Consider the following 14176-nt stretch of genomic DNA (forward strand, 5'->3'; position numbering starts at 1 on the left):
GAGCCACGCCTCCGGGGGCGTTCTTGCCGGAAGTCGTGGCGCGCGCACAGGGGATGTGTCTCGTTCTGGGTTGTTTCCTAGGGTGTGTTTCGGAGTCTGGAGGACCCCTGATTCCAGACGTTGGTGTTTAAAAGTTAAGGCGAATGTGGAAACACCCGAGGGGAACTTTCTCATGCATTAGCGCACCTCGAGGTGGGAGGGGAAGCGGTGACTGTCCTCCCTCCACCAGCCGTCGCGGGAACCCGTGGGGTTCAGTGAAGGGTCCAGCAGTTCAGGTGCCCGCCCCGGGCCTGGGCCTTGGCTCCGGGCTACAGTGTGAGATCCCGGGCTAGGTGGCCCGCCTGGGGCAGGTCGCCGGGACAACCCCACCGCCCCGCAAGTCCAGCCCGGCCTCGGGCACGGTAGGGTTTGCGGTTAAGCTTGTGACCTTTAGACTTCTGAATATTCATATGTATGAAATGTGATATACATAAAAGTGTGCATATCAGGAATTTACAGTGATTAATGACCAGAGTGAACACAGCTGCGTAGCCGACACCGGGATCCAAAACACCGCTATTCTGAAAGCCTCCCTCTTTCCCAAAAGGCAACCGCGAACTCAACACTACAAATTCGGTTTGCTTGCTTTTGCTATAAATAGAATCATGCAGTATGCTTTTTTTTTTGGCCTAGTTTCATGGAGTCTATATTATGTCTGGAGTCCATCCAGGTTGCATACAGAGATGGTTTGTTTGCTTTTGCTGCTGAAGAGAATTCCATTGTATATATTATACCATAAATTACTTATTCTGCTGTTGATAGACATCAAAGTTGTTTTCAGTTAGGGCTATTCTGAGTAATGCTACTATGAATTTTCTGGTACGTGGTTCTGATGCACGTTTGCATGAGTTTGTCCTGGAGTGGGACTGCTGGGACATAGGGTATATCTATCATCAATAAGTAATGCCCAACAGTTATGCTAAGAGGCTGAAATAATATACACACTCCAGCGGTGTGTAAGGGTTTTCATGGCTTCCAGCTTCAGCCTTCTTGGCATTTTAACTCTATAACTTCAGCTATTCTGATGGGTGTGTGGTGGTATTGCACTACTGCTTTGCTTTGCTTTTCTCTAATAACTAATGAAGCTGAGAACCTTCTCATGTGTATGGTGCCCATTCTGATAGCTTCCTTGGTTAAGTGTTCTTTCGAGTCCCTGGCTCATTTTTTTTTTTTCCTTATGGAGTTGTCTGCCTTTTTTCTTATTGATTTGTGGAATTTCTTTATATATTAGGGATATGAACACACTCTGTGGCTTGCCTTTTCACTCTTAATGGTGTTGATGATTAGATTTTTTTTTTTTTTTTTTTTTTTTTTTTTTAGACAGGGTCTCACTCTGTCACCTAGGCCGGAGTGCAGTGGTGCCATCAGGACTCACTGCAGCCTTGACCTCTCAGGCTCAAGAGATCCTCCCACCTCAGCCTCCCAAATAGCCGGGACTATAGGCACAGGTCAACAGGCCTGGCTAACTTTTGTATTTTTTGTAGAGACAAGGTTTTGATATGTGGCCCAGGCTGGTCTCCAACTCCTGAGCTCAAGTGATCCACCTGCCTCAGACTCCCACAGTGCTGGGATTACAGGCGTGAGCCGCCTCGCCTGGCTGAGAAGTTTCCAAGTTTTATGTAGTTCAATTATTTTCTTTAGGTTAGTGGATTGGGTGTGTGTGCATGTGCATGTGCCTTAGGAAATCTTCCCTTACCCCCATCATATTTTCCTATGTGGTCTACTAGACGATTGTTTTGCTTTTCACATTTAGTTCTGCAATCCACCCGGAGATGATTCTCCTTGAACTTTTATTGAAGTATGATATACATATAGAAGAATGCAAACTGAACACACCCAACCAACTAGCATCCTCGTAAGAACAGGACATTGCCACATTCCAGAAGCCCTCCTCCTGTCTTCATCTAGTCACCACCCTTGCCCCAAGGGTAACCATTATCCTGCCATCTTGTATAGATTTGCTTTATCTAGTTTTGTATTTATGCAAATGAAGTACCTTGCATATTTTTTGCTAAACATTATGTTTGTGTGTAGATGTAGTTAATCTATTCTCACTGTAATATGGTATTTCATTGTGGATGTTTTACAATTTACTTATCCATTCTGCTGTTGATGAACATTTGGGTAATTTTCACTCTTTTATATTATAAATAGTGTACCTACAAACTCAATAATATATATCTTTATGTGAACACATATACTGATATACTCCCAGGGATGGAATTACTGGGTCATAGGGCTTACTTATGTTCAGCTTAAGTAGGACATAGTTTTCCAAAGTGGTTGCCAACTTAAACTCCTTGCTAACGTTTAGTATTGTCTTTTTAATCTTAGCCATTCTGGTAGATAGGTAATGGTATGAAATTGTGGTTTTAACTGTATTTCCCTAATTACTAACACAATTGAGAACTTTAAAAAATATATTTATGTTTGTTTGGATAACCTCTTTAATGAAGTGTCTGCTTAGGTGTTTTGCCCATTTTTCTATTGGGCTTTATTTTTAAACTGATTTGTAGGAGCTCTTTATATTTTTTCAATAGGAACCTTGTGAGCTATGTCTGTAGTGAGTATCTTCCCCCTGTGGCTTGGGTTTTCACTCTCTTAATGGTATCTTTTGATGAATAGAGGTTCTTCATTTTAATACAGTCTGATTTATGAACCGTTCCCTATACAGCTAATAGTTTTCGAGTACGCTGTGAGAAACTTTTGCCTACTCCAAAATTATATTTTCTTCTAAAAGCTTTCTTCTTCCACCTTGTCCATTTAGATCTGCAGTCTCTCTGGCCTAGATTTTTGTGCATAGTCTAAGGTAGGGAAGAAGATATATTTTTCCCCATATGGATATTTGGTGGACCCAGCACCATTTATTGAAAAGACCATCTTCTCCCCCACTGCTCTGCAGAGCAGCTCTTTTCAAAAATCAAGTGTCCAAATATGTGAGGGCCTCTGCTTCTGAACTAGCTGTTCTTTTCCATGGGTTTAGTCAGCTATCCTTGCAGAATACAAGCTTTAGAAAAAGACTTGGTATTTGTCCCTCAAAAAAAGCTCCCATTTTTTTCTCAGATTATCTAGTAGTTATCTGATTATTCTAATCCTTTGCATGTGAACATAAATTATAGATATATGTGAAAAAGCACCCATGATTTGATTTGTAGTGTGTTGGATCTGTAGAAGAATTTGGAGAGAATTAATATCTTTACAATATGAAGTATTCCAATCAATGGGCATATTATAGCCCTACATTTATTGAGGCACTCTTTAATTTCAGCAGCATCCTGCAGATTTTGTGTCAAGGCCTTGTATATCCTTTACTAGATTGTCTAGATATTTGATAGATTTTGATGCTACTGTAAATAGTACCTTTTGTTTAAAAACTCCATTTTCTAATCATTAGTTTGATATATTTAAATACAGCAGATTTTTGTATATTGGCGTTACATCCAGCGATCTTGTGAAATTTACTTAAGTTTATCTGTAACCATTCTTGTGGATTTTCTACATACATAACCATGCTATTTGAGAATAATGATAGTTGGCTGGGCGTGGTGGCTCACGCCTGTAATCCCAGCACTATGGGAGGCTGAGGTGGGTGGGTCACCTGAGGTCAGGAGTTTGAGACCAGCCTGGCCAACATGGTGAAACCCCGCCTCTACTAAAAATACAAAAATTAGCCGGGTGTGGTGGCACGTACCTGTAATCCCAGCTACTTGGGAGGCTGAGGCACGAGAATCACTTGAATCAGGGAGGCGGAGGTTGCAGTGAGTGAAGATCATGCCATTGCACTCCAGCCTGGGCAACAGAGTGAGACTCGGTCTCAAAAAAAAAAAAAAAAAAAAAAAAAAAAGATAGTTTTATTTCCTCCTTTCCAATTATTATACTGGTTCTGTATTTTTTGCCCTGTTACACTGGCTGGGATCTTTAGCACAATGTTGAACAGCGGTGGTAGTGGATATGCTTTGGCAGGCATCACTTCATAGCCCGGAAGAAAACTCTAACCAATGATCGTTAACATCACCAATAATGGAACAGATCGTGTACTCCCTGCTAGAATGCAGACAGAACACAGAATCAGCCTGTGAGATTCGTGTCAAAGATGCATGACTTGACTCAAAACGTGAGGAACCCTCAGACAAGTGCACAGCGAAGGGCAGCCTACAAATAACTGGCCTATAGTCTTTAAAAGCTTCCACATCATGAGGCAAGGAGACTGAGGAACTGTTCCAGATGGAAGAACATTAAAGAGACATGATGACTAAGTGAAAAGTGTGTTTCTAAACCAGACCATTTTGCTAAGAACTTTATTGGGACAACTGGCAGAACTAGAATTCAGTCAGAGGGTTGATGGTAATAACATACCGATGTTAATTTCCTGAGTCTGATGGCTGTGCCGGAGAATGTCGTTGTTCATAGGAAATACCCACTGAAGTATTGGCGGGGGGGGGGCGGTCATAGGGTATATCGGCAACTTACTCTCAAATTGGGAGGGAATTTCTTTGTATTGTACTTGGAACTTCTTTGTTTTCTGAGATGGAGTCTCGCTCTGTTGCCCAGGCTGGAGTACAGTGGCGGAATCTCGGCTCACTGCAACCTCCGCCTCATGAGGAATAACATGAGGTTCAAGTGATTCTCGTGCCTCAGCCTCTCAAGTAGCTGGGATTACAGGCGCTCGCCACCATGCCTGGCTGATTTTTATATTTTTAGTAGAGACGGGGTTTTGTCATGTTTGCCAGGCTGGTCTTGAGCTCCTGACCTAAGAAGTGATTTCCCCTGCCCCCTGTCCCTGCCTCGGCCTCCCAAAGTGCTGGGATTACAGGCCTGAGCCATCACACCTGCCCCGGTCACTGCAACTTTTGTTTAACTAAAAAAACTAAAAAAGTTAAACAAAATAACTAAAGAATTAAAATAACTTTAAAAAGTTAAAATAACTAAAAAAATTAAAATAACAAGTTAAAATAACTAAGAAATAAAATAACTTAAAAGTTAAAATAACTAAAAATTTAAACAAAATAACTAAAAATGTTAAACAAAATAACTGAATAATGAAAAAATTAAACAAAATAAAACCTCAACTTCATTTAATTCCAGAGAGGACCACCAGGTGGAGTCCTTAGGCTGGAGAGCTGGTTTTAACTTGGGGCCCTTCTGTTGCTGTGTTTAAAAAAAAAAAAGAGTGGGGTGGTATCTCTTTACTTTAAAAAGGGAAAGTTGTACAAGTTTCCCTTCAGCATAGGAACAGGGACAGAAGTCAAACCATATGTGGTTTTATTCATTGAGGGTATCTCTATGAAGTTGCAAACAATTTTCTTTTTTGATTCCATTTCTTTTGGCCGGAATTTCTCAACCTCGGCACTATTGACATTTTGGTCTGGACAGTTCTTTGTCATGGGGGCTGCTGTGCATTGCAGGGTGCTTAGCAGCATTCCTGGCCTCCACCCACTGGATGTGAGTACATCCTTCCAGTTGTGACAACCCAAAATGTCTCCAGACGTTGCCAAATGTCCCCTGGAAGACAAAAGTCATCCCTGGTTGAGAACCACTATTTTGGCAACAGGATGTTCTCTGCCCTGGGCACTTTGGTTCCTGTTGTTTCAAAAGGGAGTCTAAGATATCTGGTCACCCTTAGTGTGGCTGGTCTGTAGTGGTGAGGGGCTTTGGATGGTGGGACTGAATCCTAGGATCTAAGGTGGGTGCTCAGTGCTGTACCATCTAAGGATGCTGTTCTGTGCTCAGATAAGCCACAAAGCCTGGGGTGTCAGGAAAGGACTTAAACAGCCAACCAGGAAGGATAGAGTCTGGGGTTCGTGCGAGGAAAGCAACAGTGAAGGCTGGGGTAGGGGAGCAGATTCTTCCTTTCCCCCCAGCAGCCAGTGCCCAGTGGCCTCCCAGCTGGCTGGGCAGAACCTTAAGATGCTAGAGAATGGCCTTGGTGTATACTTTCCATCACCCCTGCTTGTTCTTATTAAAATGTTTTTCTTTCCTGTTCTCCACCTCCTTTTTCCATCCTCTGATCTGAACCTCTGGCCCTCACCTGCTCTCGGGGGCCCCAACATACTCCAAGCTTTTAGGCAAAAGGCCCTCTCCAGCCATAGTATCAATAATGCAAATGCAGTGGAGGGTGGTCTCCCCAAGTTCAAGGACACTCCACTCCTAGACTCATTTAGACCATGTTGCTATCTATCTATCTATCTATCTATCTATCTATCTATCTATCATCTATCAATCTATCATCTATCTATCTATCTCTGTCGTTTTTGATTGATTGATTGAGACAGGGTCTCGCTCTATTTCTCAGGCTGGCTGCAAATGCCTGGGCTCAAGCCATCCTCTTGCTTCTAACCTCTCAGAATGTTAGGATTACAGGTGTGAGCCACTGTGGCTGGCCCTTTTATTTTTTTAAGTTCTGTCCACCCCCCCTCCCATTTCAGGTGTGTCTTCTGTACAAAGTGCCATTCTCACCAGTCCTTTGAAGAGTCGCAAGATACAAAGTCAGTAGTGGCCTGGGAGGGATGGGGATGTACACATGGGGTCCACTGTGAGGTGCCAAAGAATTTGGGGATAAGGTCAGGTAAACATCACCCCCTGAAAATAAAGCTAGTTTAAAACAAATGCATCATGGCTGCATTTGGGCAGCTGCAGAACGACGCCCCTCCTGCAGCCAGCCAGCTTCCTTCCCTGGGCCCGGTGGGGAGCAACTTTGCCAATGTGCAGCCCCAGGCAAGGCATTCACTTCTGTGGGTCTCAGTGTCCTTGTCTGGGAAATGACAGGTTTAGAGGAGGTGATCCATGATCCTGTCACTTAAAATCCATACACATATCCTGCCAGAGTCCAGACAATTTTAACCTCAAGGTCGGACCACTTGTGAGCAGACATTATATGTAGTTGGTCTCTTTCAACAAGGTGGAGTTTAGTCATTAGGACTTTGTGAACAACTTCTCAACTCCCCACCCGACTTGTCAGCCCCAAGCTGGGCTTGCCTGGCTTAGCCACTCGACGAGGCTGCCTGGTTGGCTTTCCTGTAGTTGTATCTCCCTTTGGGAGATAAAGGGAGTTTCTTCCCTTTTTTTTTTTTTTTTTTTTTTGAGACGCAGCTTCGTTCTTGTTGCCCAGGCTGGAGTACAGTGGTGCAATCTTGGCTCACTGCAGCTTCACCTCCTGGGTTCAAGCGATTCTCCTGCCTCAGCCTCCCGAGTAGCTGGGATTACAGGTGTCACCACCACGCATGGCTAATTTTTGTATTTTTAGTAGAGATGGGGTTTCACTGTGTTGGCCAGGCTGGTCTCGAACTCCTGACCTCAGGTGATCCGCCTGCCTCGGCCTCCCAAAATGCTGGGATTACAGGTGTGAGCCACCATGCCCGGCCAGGAGTTTATTTCTGATTCAGCTGCAAACATGGTAGACTGTAAGCTCTCAGTGGGCAGCTCGGATTTGCTGGTATCTGGGCTCTAGGGTCTAAAAGGCTGCCTGGCACCAGCAGCACTTAACAAGTTACTTTTAATTCAAGGTCGGTCTCATGGGCGGGGCAAGGGGTTGAATGTTCATCCCAAACACACTTATTCCTTCACTGCCTCACACGCACAACTCTGGTCAATTGGTGCTTGTGGTGGCCAGCTGTTGGGTTGTGTGACTTGCCCTGCCTTCTGAGAGCTGCACACTGCTCCCCTCCTCTGCTGCAGAGCTCCCTGCAGCCATATTCTGCTGCACAAGCCTGTCCTTGTAGCCACAGCTGATGACACAGGGAGAGTACCCATGTAAGGCAGGCTGACCAAGTCCTGTCCCTGGGAAAAGAAGAGCCAAGAAACAGACCCAGAAAGTTGGCCTGAGGGGTTGGATTTGTACCAGTTTTACCTGGAAGATGCTGGAGGTCTTGTCATTTGTCCCATCAACTGGAGAAGGCGGCCATGGAGAGAAGGGCAGTGCTGCCGTACAGAGAGGGTCCAGGTGACATTTAATGCCGGCTCCAGCTTTCCCAAGGCTCTGCTGCACCCCTCCCTGAAATTCTGAATCCACTCTGGATTCTCAAAACAACGCCCCTCACCCACTCTTGTTTTCACCTAAGTCATTTCTAGTTGGTGCGTTTCCTTTACTTGCAGCCAAAGGATTCCTAGCAAGTACAAGCTTCTGACTTCACAGAGAGGCCATGGTAAACATCCCAAGGAGTGCATCAGCCATGGGTTCAGGGATTTCAGCCACTGCATAGAAGACAAGCTGTAACCTAATTCAATCACACTTGGCAGCAACCGGTGAAGAGGCAGTCTGGGCTCTGGGGAGCTCCCCCGTGACAGATGGAAGGGGCCCCTACATCTGGAGAGGCTCTAGAACCTCCTCCCAGTGAGGCTAACGTGGTCTGAAGGGGTCTCTTTGCCCAGTGACATTCTGGGGTTGGGATCTGGGATTTCCTCCATTGCTTCCTTACATCAACATTTGCTAAAGCTCAAAAGAAGACCTTCCACGTAATGACATCAAACAGATCTGAAACCACAGTTAAAGTAACGTCCACTTAACACTTGGTCAGCACTCATGTTTCATTTTGTGTGCCGTGGAAAGAAATACAGGCTCCTGTGCCATGGGATGTTAACTCTTTTATTAATTTAGGGTTAACATTGTACTTGCTTCATTGATTTCTCTTTCAGAGTTGTAGATTCAATAAACAACATCTGGGTTCTCTCCAGCTCACAGGTGACAAGGCAAATGCACTGTCGTCAAACAGGGGAGCAGGACAATATGGAGAAAGACGAGGTCGAAAAAATTTAAGGCAAATGTTACTTCCCTATTCAAGGGAATTGATCAAGCAGATCTGTGCATTTCAATGAAAATATATGAAATATTTGTCAAAATAATTAACATCGGTAAAAATTAGAACATGTAGCTTATAAAATGCCTACACAGGTTTGGCAGAATAAATCCAACTGTGTCATGTAGGCTTGTAATATACACAGACACAGGAGTTTCCACCTTAAAAACGAGTCTTCTGAAGGGCAGAGGCCAAATGTATTTTAAAAGCAATTCCATAAAATGGGAAGTGATGGATGATTAACAATGCATGGCTGGCTTTACATTTTGTTCAGAGGAATTGCTTGGCCATCGGGGTACCTTTTGGCTGGCCACAGAATGCCTCCTGTTGCCTCTCCTCAGAAGGCTCTGCATCAGGTCGAGGTGGTCGTTCAGGCCATGAGACTCCTGAAGACACAGACAGAACACGGTAACAAGGAGAGCTCGGCTTGCTCAAAGGAGAGCGCTGCGGGGGATAGAATCTTCTGGTCTGGCTTTGGAATTGGACTTTCTAAGCCACTGCTGCAGTTTCAGAAGTAGCTGACTATGTAGAAATAGATACTCCGGCCCCAGTGGTCATACATTTTATGCCCTCAAACCTATCTTATTTATAGTCTGACCAAACCGTCCCCAGACTGCTCAGTGGCAGGCAACGAGCAGGTAGACTGCTGGCCCTTTGTCACATGTGAGGATGGCCCAGGGTTCGCCAGCTGGGCCGGGGAGATTTACTACACAGCCGCAGAAAAGCACGGGGAGAAGAGTGATGTGTGATGCCAAGCGCCTTTCTTTTCTGCTTTGGTCTTGAAGATTCAGTAAACTTATGGTCCCAGAAGCTGCTCCAAAGCCAGAGCTGTGGATTCCCAGAATTCATTTTGTTCCTGTTAGTTTGTCGGAAGACTGGAGCCAACAAGCAGCATTTGAGAGGATATCACCATTTTAGGAACACCTCCTTAAGAGCCACCACCCACCTGGCTTGGGTGCTCAGAGATGCTGCTCCTGGGGAGATAAAGCTGTCAGGTGCAGGGCGCCGCTCCTGAAACAGACTCTGGCCGACAGTCTGGAGGAAGGTGGACGGATGGATGGATGGGAGTGCCTGCCCTCTGTGGGCAGCTAGGCACCCTTACCCGGCCAGGAGGCACGTGCGGCAGCAGAACTGAATGAAGAGCTTCCGTTCGCACAGCCGGTTGGACTTCACCATCTCGCAGAATGTCTCGTCAGCTGGGGCCCCGCATCAGGAAAGGCAAAAGAGGGAAAGGTCAGTCTTCGGTGCCTGTGAAGATTGTTTCAAGGCCGGGCGCGGTGCCTCATGCCTGTAATCCCAGCACTTTGGGAGGCCGAGGTGGGTGGATCACCTGAGGTCAGGAGCTTGAGACCAGTCTAACCAACATGGTGAAACCCCGTCTCTACTAATAATATAAAAATTAGCTGGGCATGGTGGTGGGCACCTGTAATCCAAGCTACTCGGGAGGCTAAAGCAGGAGAACCACCTGAACCCAGGAGGCAGAGGTTGCAGTGAGCTGAGATCATGCCACTGCACTCCAGCCTGGGCAAGAAGAACAAAACTCCGTCTCAAAAATAAATAAATAAATACATAAATAAATATTGTTTCAATCATTCCACATATGCTGGGCATCAGTGGTGCCCTGGGCAAGAGGGACACAGACAGAGGTGGGCAGCAGGATGGCAGCCCTTGAAGCCCCTCTCCTGCAATGCACTTGACTCTGGGAGCCCTGTGTGGCGGGAGGGCACTGGTATATGGGGCTCTTGCTGAGTCTCAGTGACAAGGGGATTCATGAGCAGGATGTGGGGGTGGTGTGGGAGGGATCTCAGGAGAACACCCAGCCTGGGCCTGTGGGGCACATGTGCACCTGTCTTTCTGGACAACTGCTGGCAGTGGAGCTTAGGAGGAAGACTGTAGGGGAGGCCGGAGGACGGGCCTGGAGGCAGGAGGGAATGGAAGCTGCTTCCAGGGTGGAGGGGGCGGACAGGGAGGAGTGGGGATGGGGGGAAGGGAGCCGCCGTGGACAGGACTTGCTGAGGACACCGCTGCAGCAAGGGGAAGAGGCCTTTGAGGATGCATCATCCGTGGACCTGGGAGGCCCTCCAGTGGCAACCACACTTTTTTGGGCTAGATACATAACCTGGGCAGGTGACTTCCCAAAGAAGTAGTTTCTGGGCCTTTGAAGGGACATAATTAGACAACCCTCCCGCCACCCCCCAAAAATAATAACCAGTAACAAGGCAAGGAGGCATCCCAGGGCCCTCCACAAGCTCCATGCTCTGCCTGGACAGGGCCAGTGCCAGCTTCATACCCAAGGACCACCTGCCCTGACCCTGGACACTGGAGCAGAGAGCCTTCCTCTCCTGGCTGTCAGAATGTGGCTCCACCCTGCTGCTTGCTGGGCCAGAGCCCCCTTCCCTGCCCGTGTGTCTACAATGACTCCTGCACTGCACCTCCAGGCCCGAGTCCTGCCAACCCTCCTTGGTGCCTGGAATTCCCAAACTGGGCACTTAGCTTTGGTGCCCTTTTAAGTTTCTGTTTTTACAACTTGTCCTTGTCCCCCATCCTATGGCAGAGCCAGGGCTCTCCTGCAGCACAGATGCAGGTCCATGCTGGATCCCTGCAGAGCTGGGATTGCTGCTGCTGAGCGTGTGCTCTACTCTGGGCTCTGTCCCCCTCGTCCTGAGCAGAGACCCTCCAGGCTTCCTGGCTTTGACCCCCCAGGTCAGGCTTCTTTTATGGTATGTCGTCACATCCGGGCCACCGGCGGCCTATGGCATGGCAGTGGGACCAGTACAAGGACAAAATCATTTTTAGGAGTCACTCAATAAACAGATCAGCAGTGGCTGGGATGCCTCTCTGATCGATGTGAGAGGCCTAGAGGGAAGCTGGGAGACAGGGCAGCTGTCTTCCATATCAGCTAGAGGAATCCCAGACAGTCAATCGGATCAGGGGCACGAACGCCTGTCTGTGGAGCCGCCATGCCTATGTGGCTTTGCTTTTCTCTTTGGAGCACGAGCTGGCCAGCTGAGCTCCTCCACAGGCAGCCCCAGGGTAACCCAGCTGCTGCTCACCGTTGCTGCACGTGTGGTTGGTGATGCAGGAGGTCCCCAGCTGTGTGAAGCCCGTCTTACACCTGCTACAGTTCCTGCTGGAGCCTGCACAGCTCAAGCAGTTCTCGTCACACCTGTGGGAAGATACCGTTCCTGCTGAAGTCTGGGGAAGAGGCTCCACCACTCCGGGCTCCCTTCCCAGAACCCTCACCTCCCTGCACCTCCTTCCCACCCCCTCAGCCTCGGTCCTCTGTGGAGAGGCTGTGTCGCCCACCATTCCCTGACACAGGGGCTGAGTGTCTGCATGTCTTTTCTCCTGTCTGACCTCACTATTGCCCTGGGAGGGCAGAGACAGCCATGGCCAGTTGGCAGGAGCAAGCCCAGGATCAGGGGCCAGGCCTCCGAGGCTTCCCGCAGCTCACCTGGACACCCTCCTGGGCCCTGGCACCCAGCCCCCACCCCACCACACGGCTCCCAGAGCTGTGTCAGTCTTCTCTCTCCAGCGGCTGCCGGGCTGCGATGGCTGTAGGCTTGGGGTCCAGGCCAGACTCCACCCAGGGATGTGACACACCTGACTCGAGCTGACCAGAAGGCTGCTGTCACCTATATGTGGCCATGCCTGCTTACCCTCGGGGAGTGGGAGAGATGCCCCACAATTCCTGCCCCTCTCGGACGGTCCTGGCCCAGCCTGCGCAGAGATGGACACCAGCCAGGGCTATTTCTAATGCAGGGTAAACGTGACCTCAGGGGACGGTTGGTGCACTACAGCCCAAGGGCCACATCCAGCATTTATCCTGGACCACAGTCACACTCATTCATTGACAATCTTTTGTGTAGCAGTGGCTGAGCTGAGTAGCTGTGACAGAGGCAGTGTGGCCCCAAAAGCCTGAACGACTGACCATTGTGCCCTCTACAGAAAGCACTTGCCGATGCGGGCCGAGTGCTTGAAGGAGCACGTTTCCCATCCTGGGGCCGTGAGTGCACCCCGGCTATGCTGCTGCCTGTCCTGAGTCCAGAGCCCGGTGACTCGGTCTCCACAGTGCTTGCATCAGCTGCCCACCTCCCCATTGTTGCCAGTTAAGGGTGGAACAGGCCCCATAGGCAGGGCTTGGAGCTTTGTTGTGCTCATGCCTGGGCCTCCCTGGGGGGCAGTTCTTTGCTTTATACAGATGTCCCCTCCCTGCTGTGTGAAGCCTTCCCACGCTCAGACACCAGGCCTCCTCGTGGGGCTCTTTGCAGAGCAGCCCTCTGATGGGGTCTGGTCTCACCACGGACTCCGCTGCTCTGGAGCCCCAGGTGCAGCATCGCTTCAGCCTGGGTGGGAGGTGGGTTTTATTCCTAGTGTGTCTGAGGATGCTGAGCCTAGAGCTCAAGCCCTTGGTCTGTAATTGTAAATGTGTAAACCCCACAGGCAAACTCACACCCACGAGCCTTTCTAATATTCCCATCCAGGCCGCCCCAGAGGAAAGGATGGGGTTAGAGGACTTGCCAGAGGGGGTTGTGCACTTGTGGGAAGCCCCATGGGTCTGCCCCCATCATGCTGCCCCCTCCCCACACCTGCCCTTGCACATTCTGGTGGCCCAGCCACCAAACCCTGATGCCCCAGTACAGGTTATGACTTTCCCCACAGACCCTCTGGTTTCTCTTACAGACAATGCCACTGGTGAGACGAGAACCAGGGCCGAGCTGAGTCATTTAAAGAGATGTCAGTGGTCTGGAGGACCCAGGGGCCCAGTGCCCCCAGGCCACGGCTGAGGGCTGCTTCATCAGTGAAGAACTGTGGTGAGGAGCGCGCTGCGGTGGACAGCCAGGAGGTTACGGCTTGCTTGCTTCTTCAAATACAACCTCACCCAGCTCAGCAGGATGGCAGGGGCCTCGGTTTTCCATTGCTCTAACCAGGTTGCCACACACTCAGCAGCTGAAAATAACACCCACTCAGCGGCTCCCCGCTATGCAGGCAGAAGTCCAGGCAGGTGCAGCTGGGCTCTCCACCTAGGGTCTCACGAGGTTCAGGGCAAGGTGGTGGCCAGGCTGGGCTCTCCTCTGGAGGTCTGGGGAAATAATCCATCACCATGCTGCTCAGGGAGATGGGTGATGCTCCCGTCCCCGTTAGGCCAGTGCAGACGGCTCTCCCTGGGAGACCCTGTGTAGCTCCTGCTTTCCGTCAGGATTACCGTGCCCAGCAGCGGGTCCTCGTGGGCAGCACCAGCTTTGGGCAGGGTGGCTTTTAAGATGCTTCTGGTTCTGCAACCATCTATGGTACCTACTTTTCCCCCAAACACCATGGCCGCTTTGCCCTGCCACATTCTGGAA

At 48.9% G+C, this 14176-nt stretch overlaps 1 protein-coding gene and 2 long non-coding RNA genes across 5 annotated transcripts in view, besides 2 other annotated features; 1 reads left to right on the forward strand and 2 right to left on the reverse strand.

Annotated features, from left to right (window-relative positions):
• On the forward strand, nt 20-10409 carry SNRPA1-DT (SNRPA1 divergent transcript). The gene is made up of 2 exons (NR_186319.1): nt 20-401; nt 8131-10409. It is a non-coding gene; the product is annotated as an SNRPA1 divergent transcript (long non-coding RNA).
• Nucleotides 69-118: an enhancer, noted in NCBI's record as "active region_10193". NCBI's record gives its function as "activates an Ori minimal core promoter by ATAC-STARR-seq in GM12878 lymphoblastoid cells {active_cell/tissue: GM12878}" and the evidence as "EXISTENCE:reporter gene assay evidence [ECO:0000049][PMID:35858748]".
• Nucleotides 179-268: an enhancer, noted in NCBI's record as "active region_10194". NCBI's record gives its function as "activates an Ori minimal core promoter by ATAC-STARR-seq in GM12878 lymphoblastoid cells {active_cell/tissue: GM12878}" and the evidence as "EXISTENCE:reporter gene assay evidence [ECO:0000049][PMID:35858748]".
• The window catches only part of PCSK6 (proprotein convertase subtilisin/kexin type 6), a 185775-nt gene continuing 180203 nt past the window's right edge, over nt 8605-14176 (reverse strand). For all 3 annotated transcript variants that reach the window (NM_001291309.2, NM_138319.4, NM_002570.5), the window contains 2 exons: nt 11885-11997; nt 8605-10027 (listed from right to left, as the gene is read on the reverse strand). In NM_001291309.2, coding sequence (NP_001278238.1) covers nt 9930-10027; nt 11885-11997 — 211 coding nt within the window. In that variant the 3' untranslated portion in view covers nt 8605-9929. The remainder of the gene's footprint in view (nt 10028-11884; nt 11998-14176) is intronic.
• On the reverse strand, nt 11923-13976 carry LOC100507472 (uncharacterized). The gene has a single exon (NR_045387.1). It is a non-coding gene; the product is annotated as an uncharacterized LOC100507472 (long non-coding RNA).

Source organism: Homo sapiens, chromosome 15, assembly GCF_000001405.40.
Source record: "Homo sapiens chromosome 15, GRCh38.p14 Primary Assembly".
In the NCBI taxonomy this organism is placed as follows: domain Eukaryota; kingdom Metazoa; phylum Chordata; class Mammalia; order Primates; family Hominidae; genus Homo; species Homo sapiens.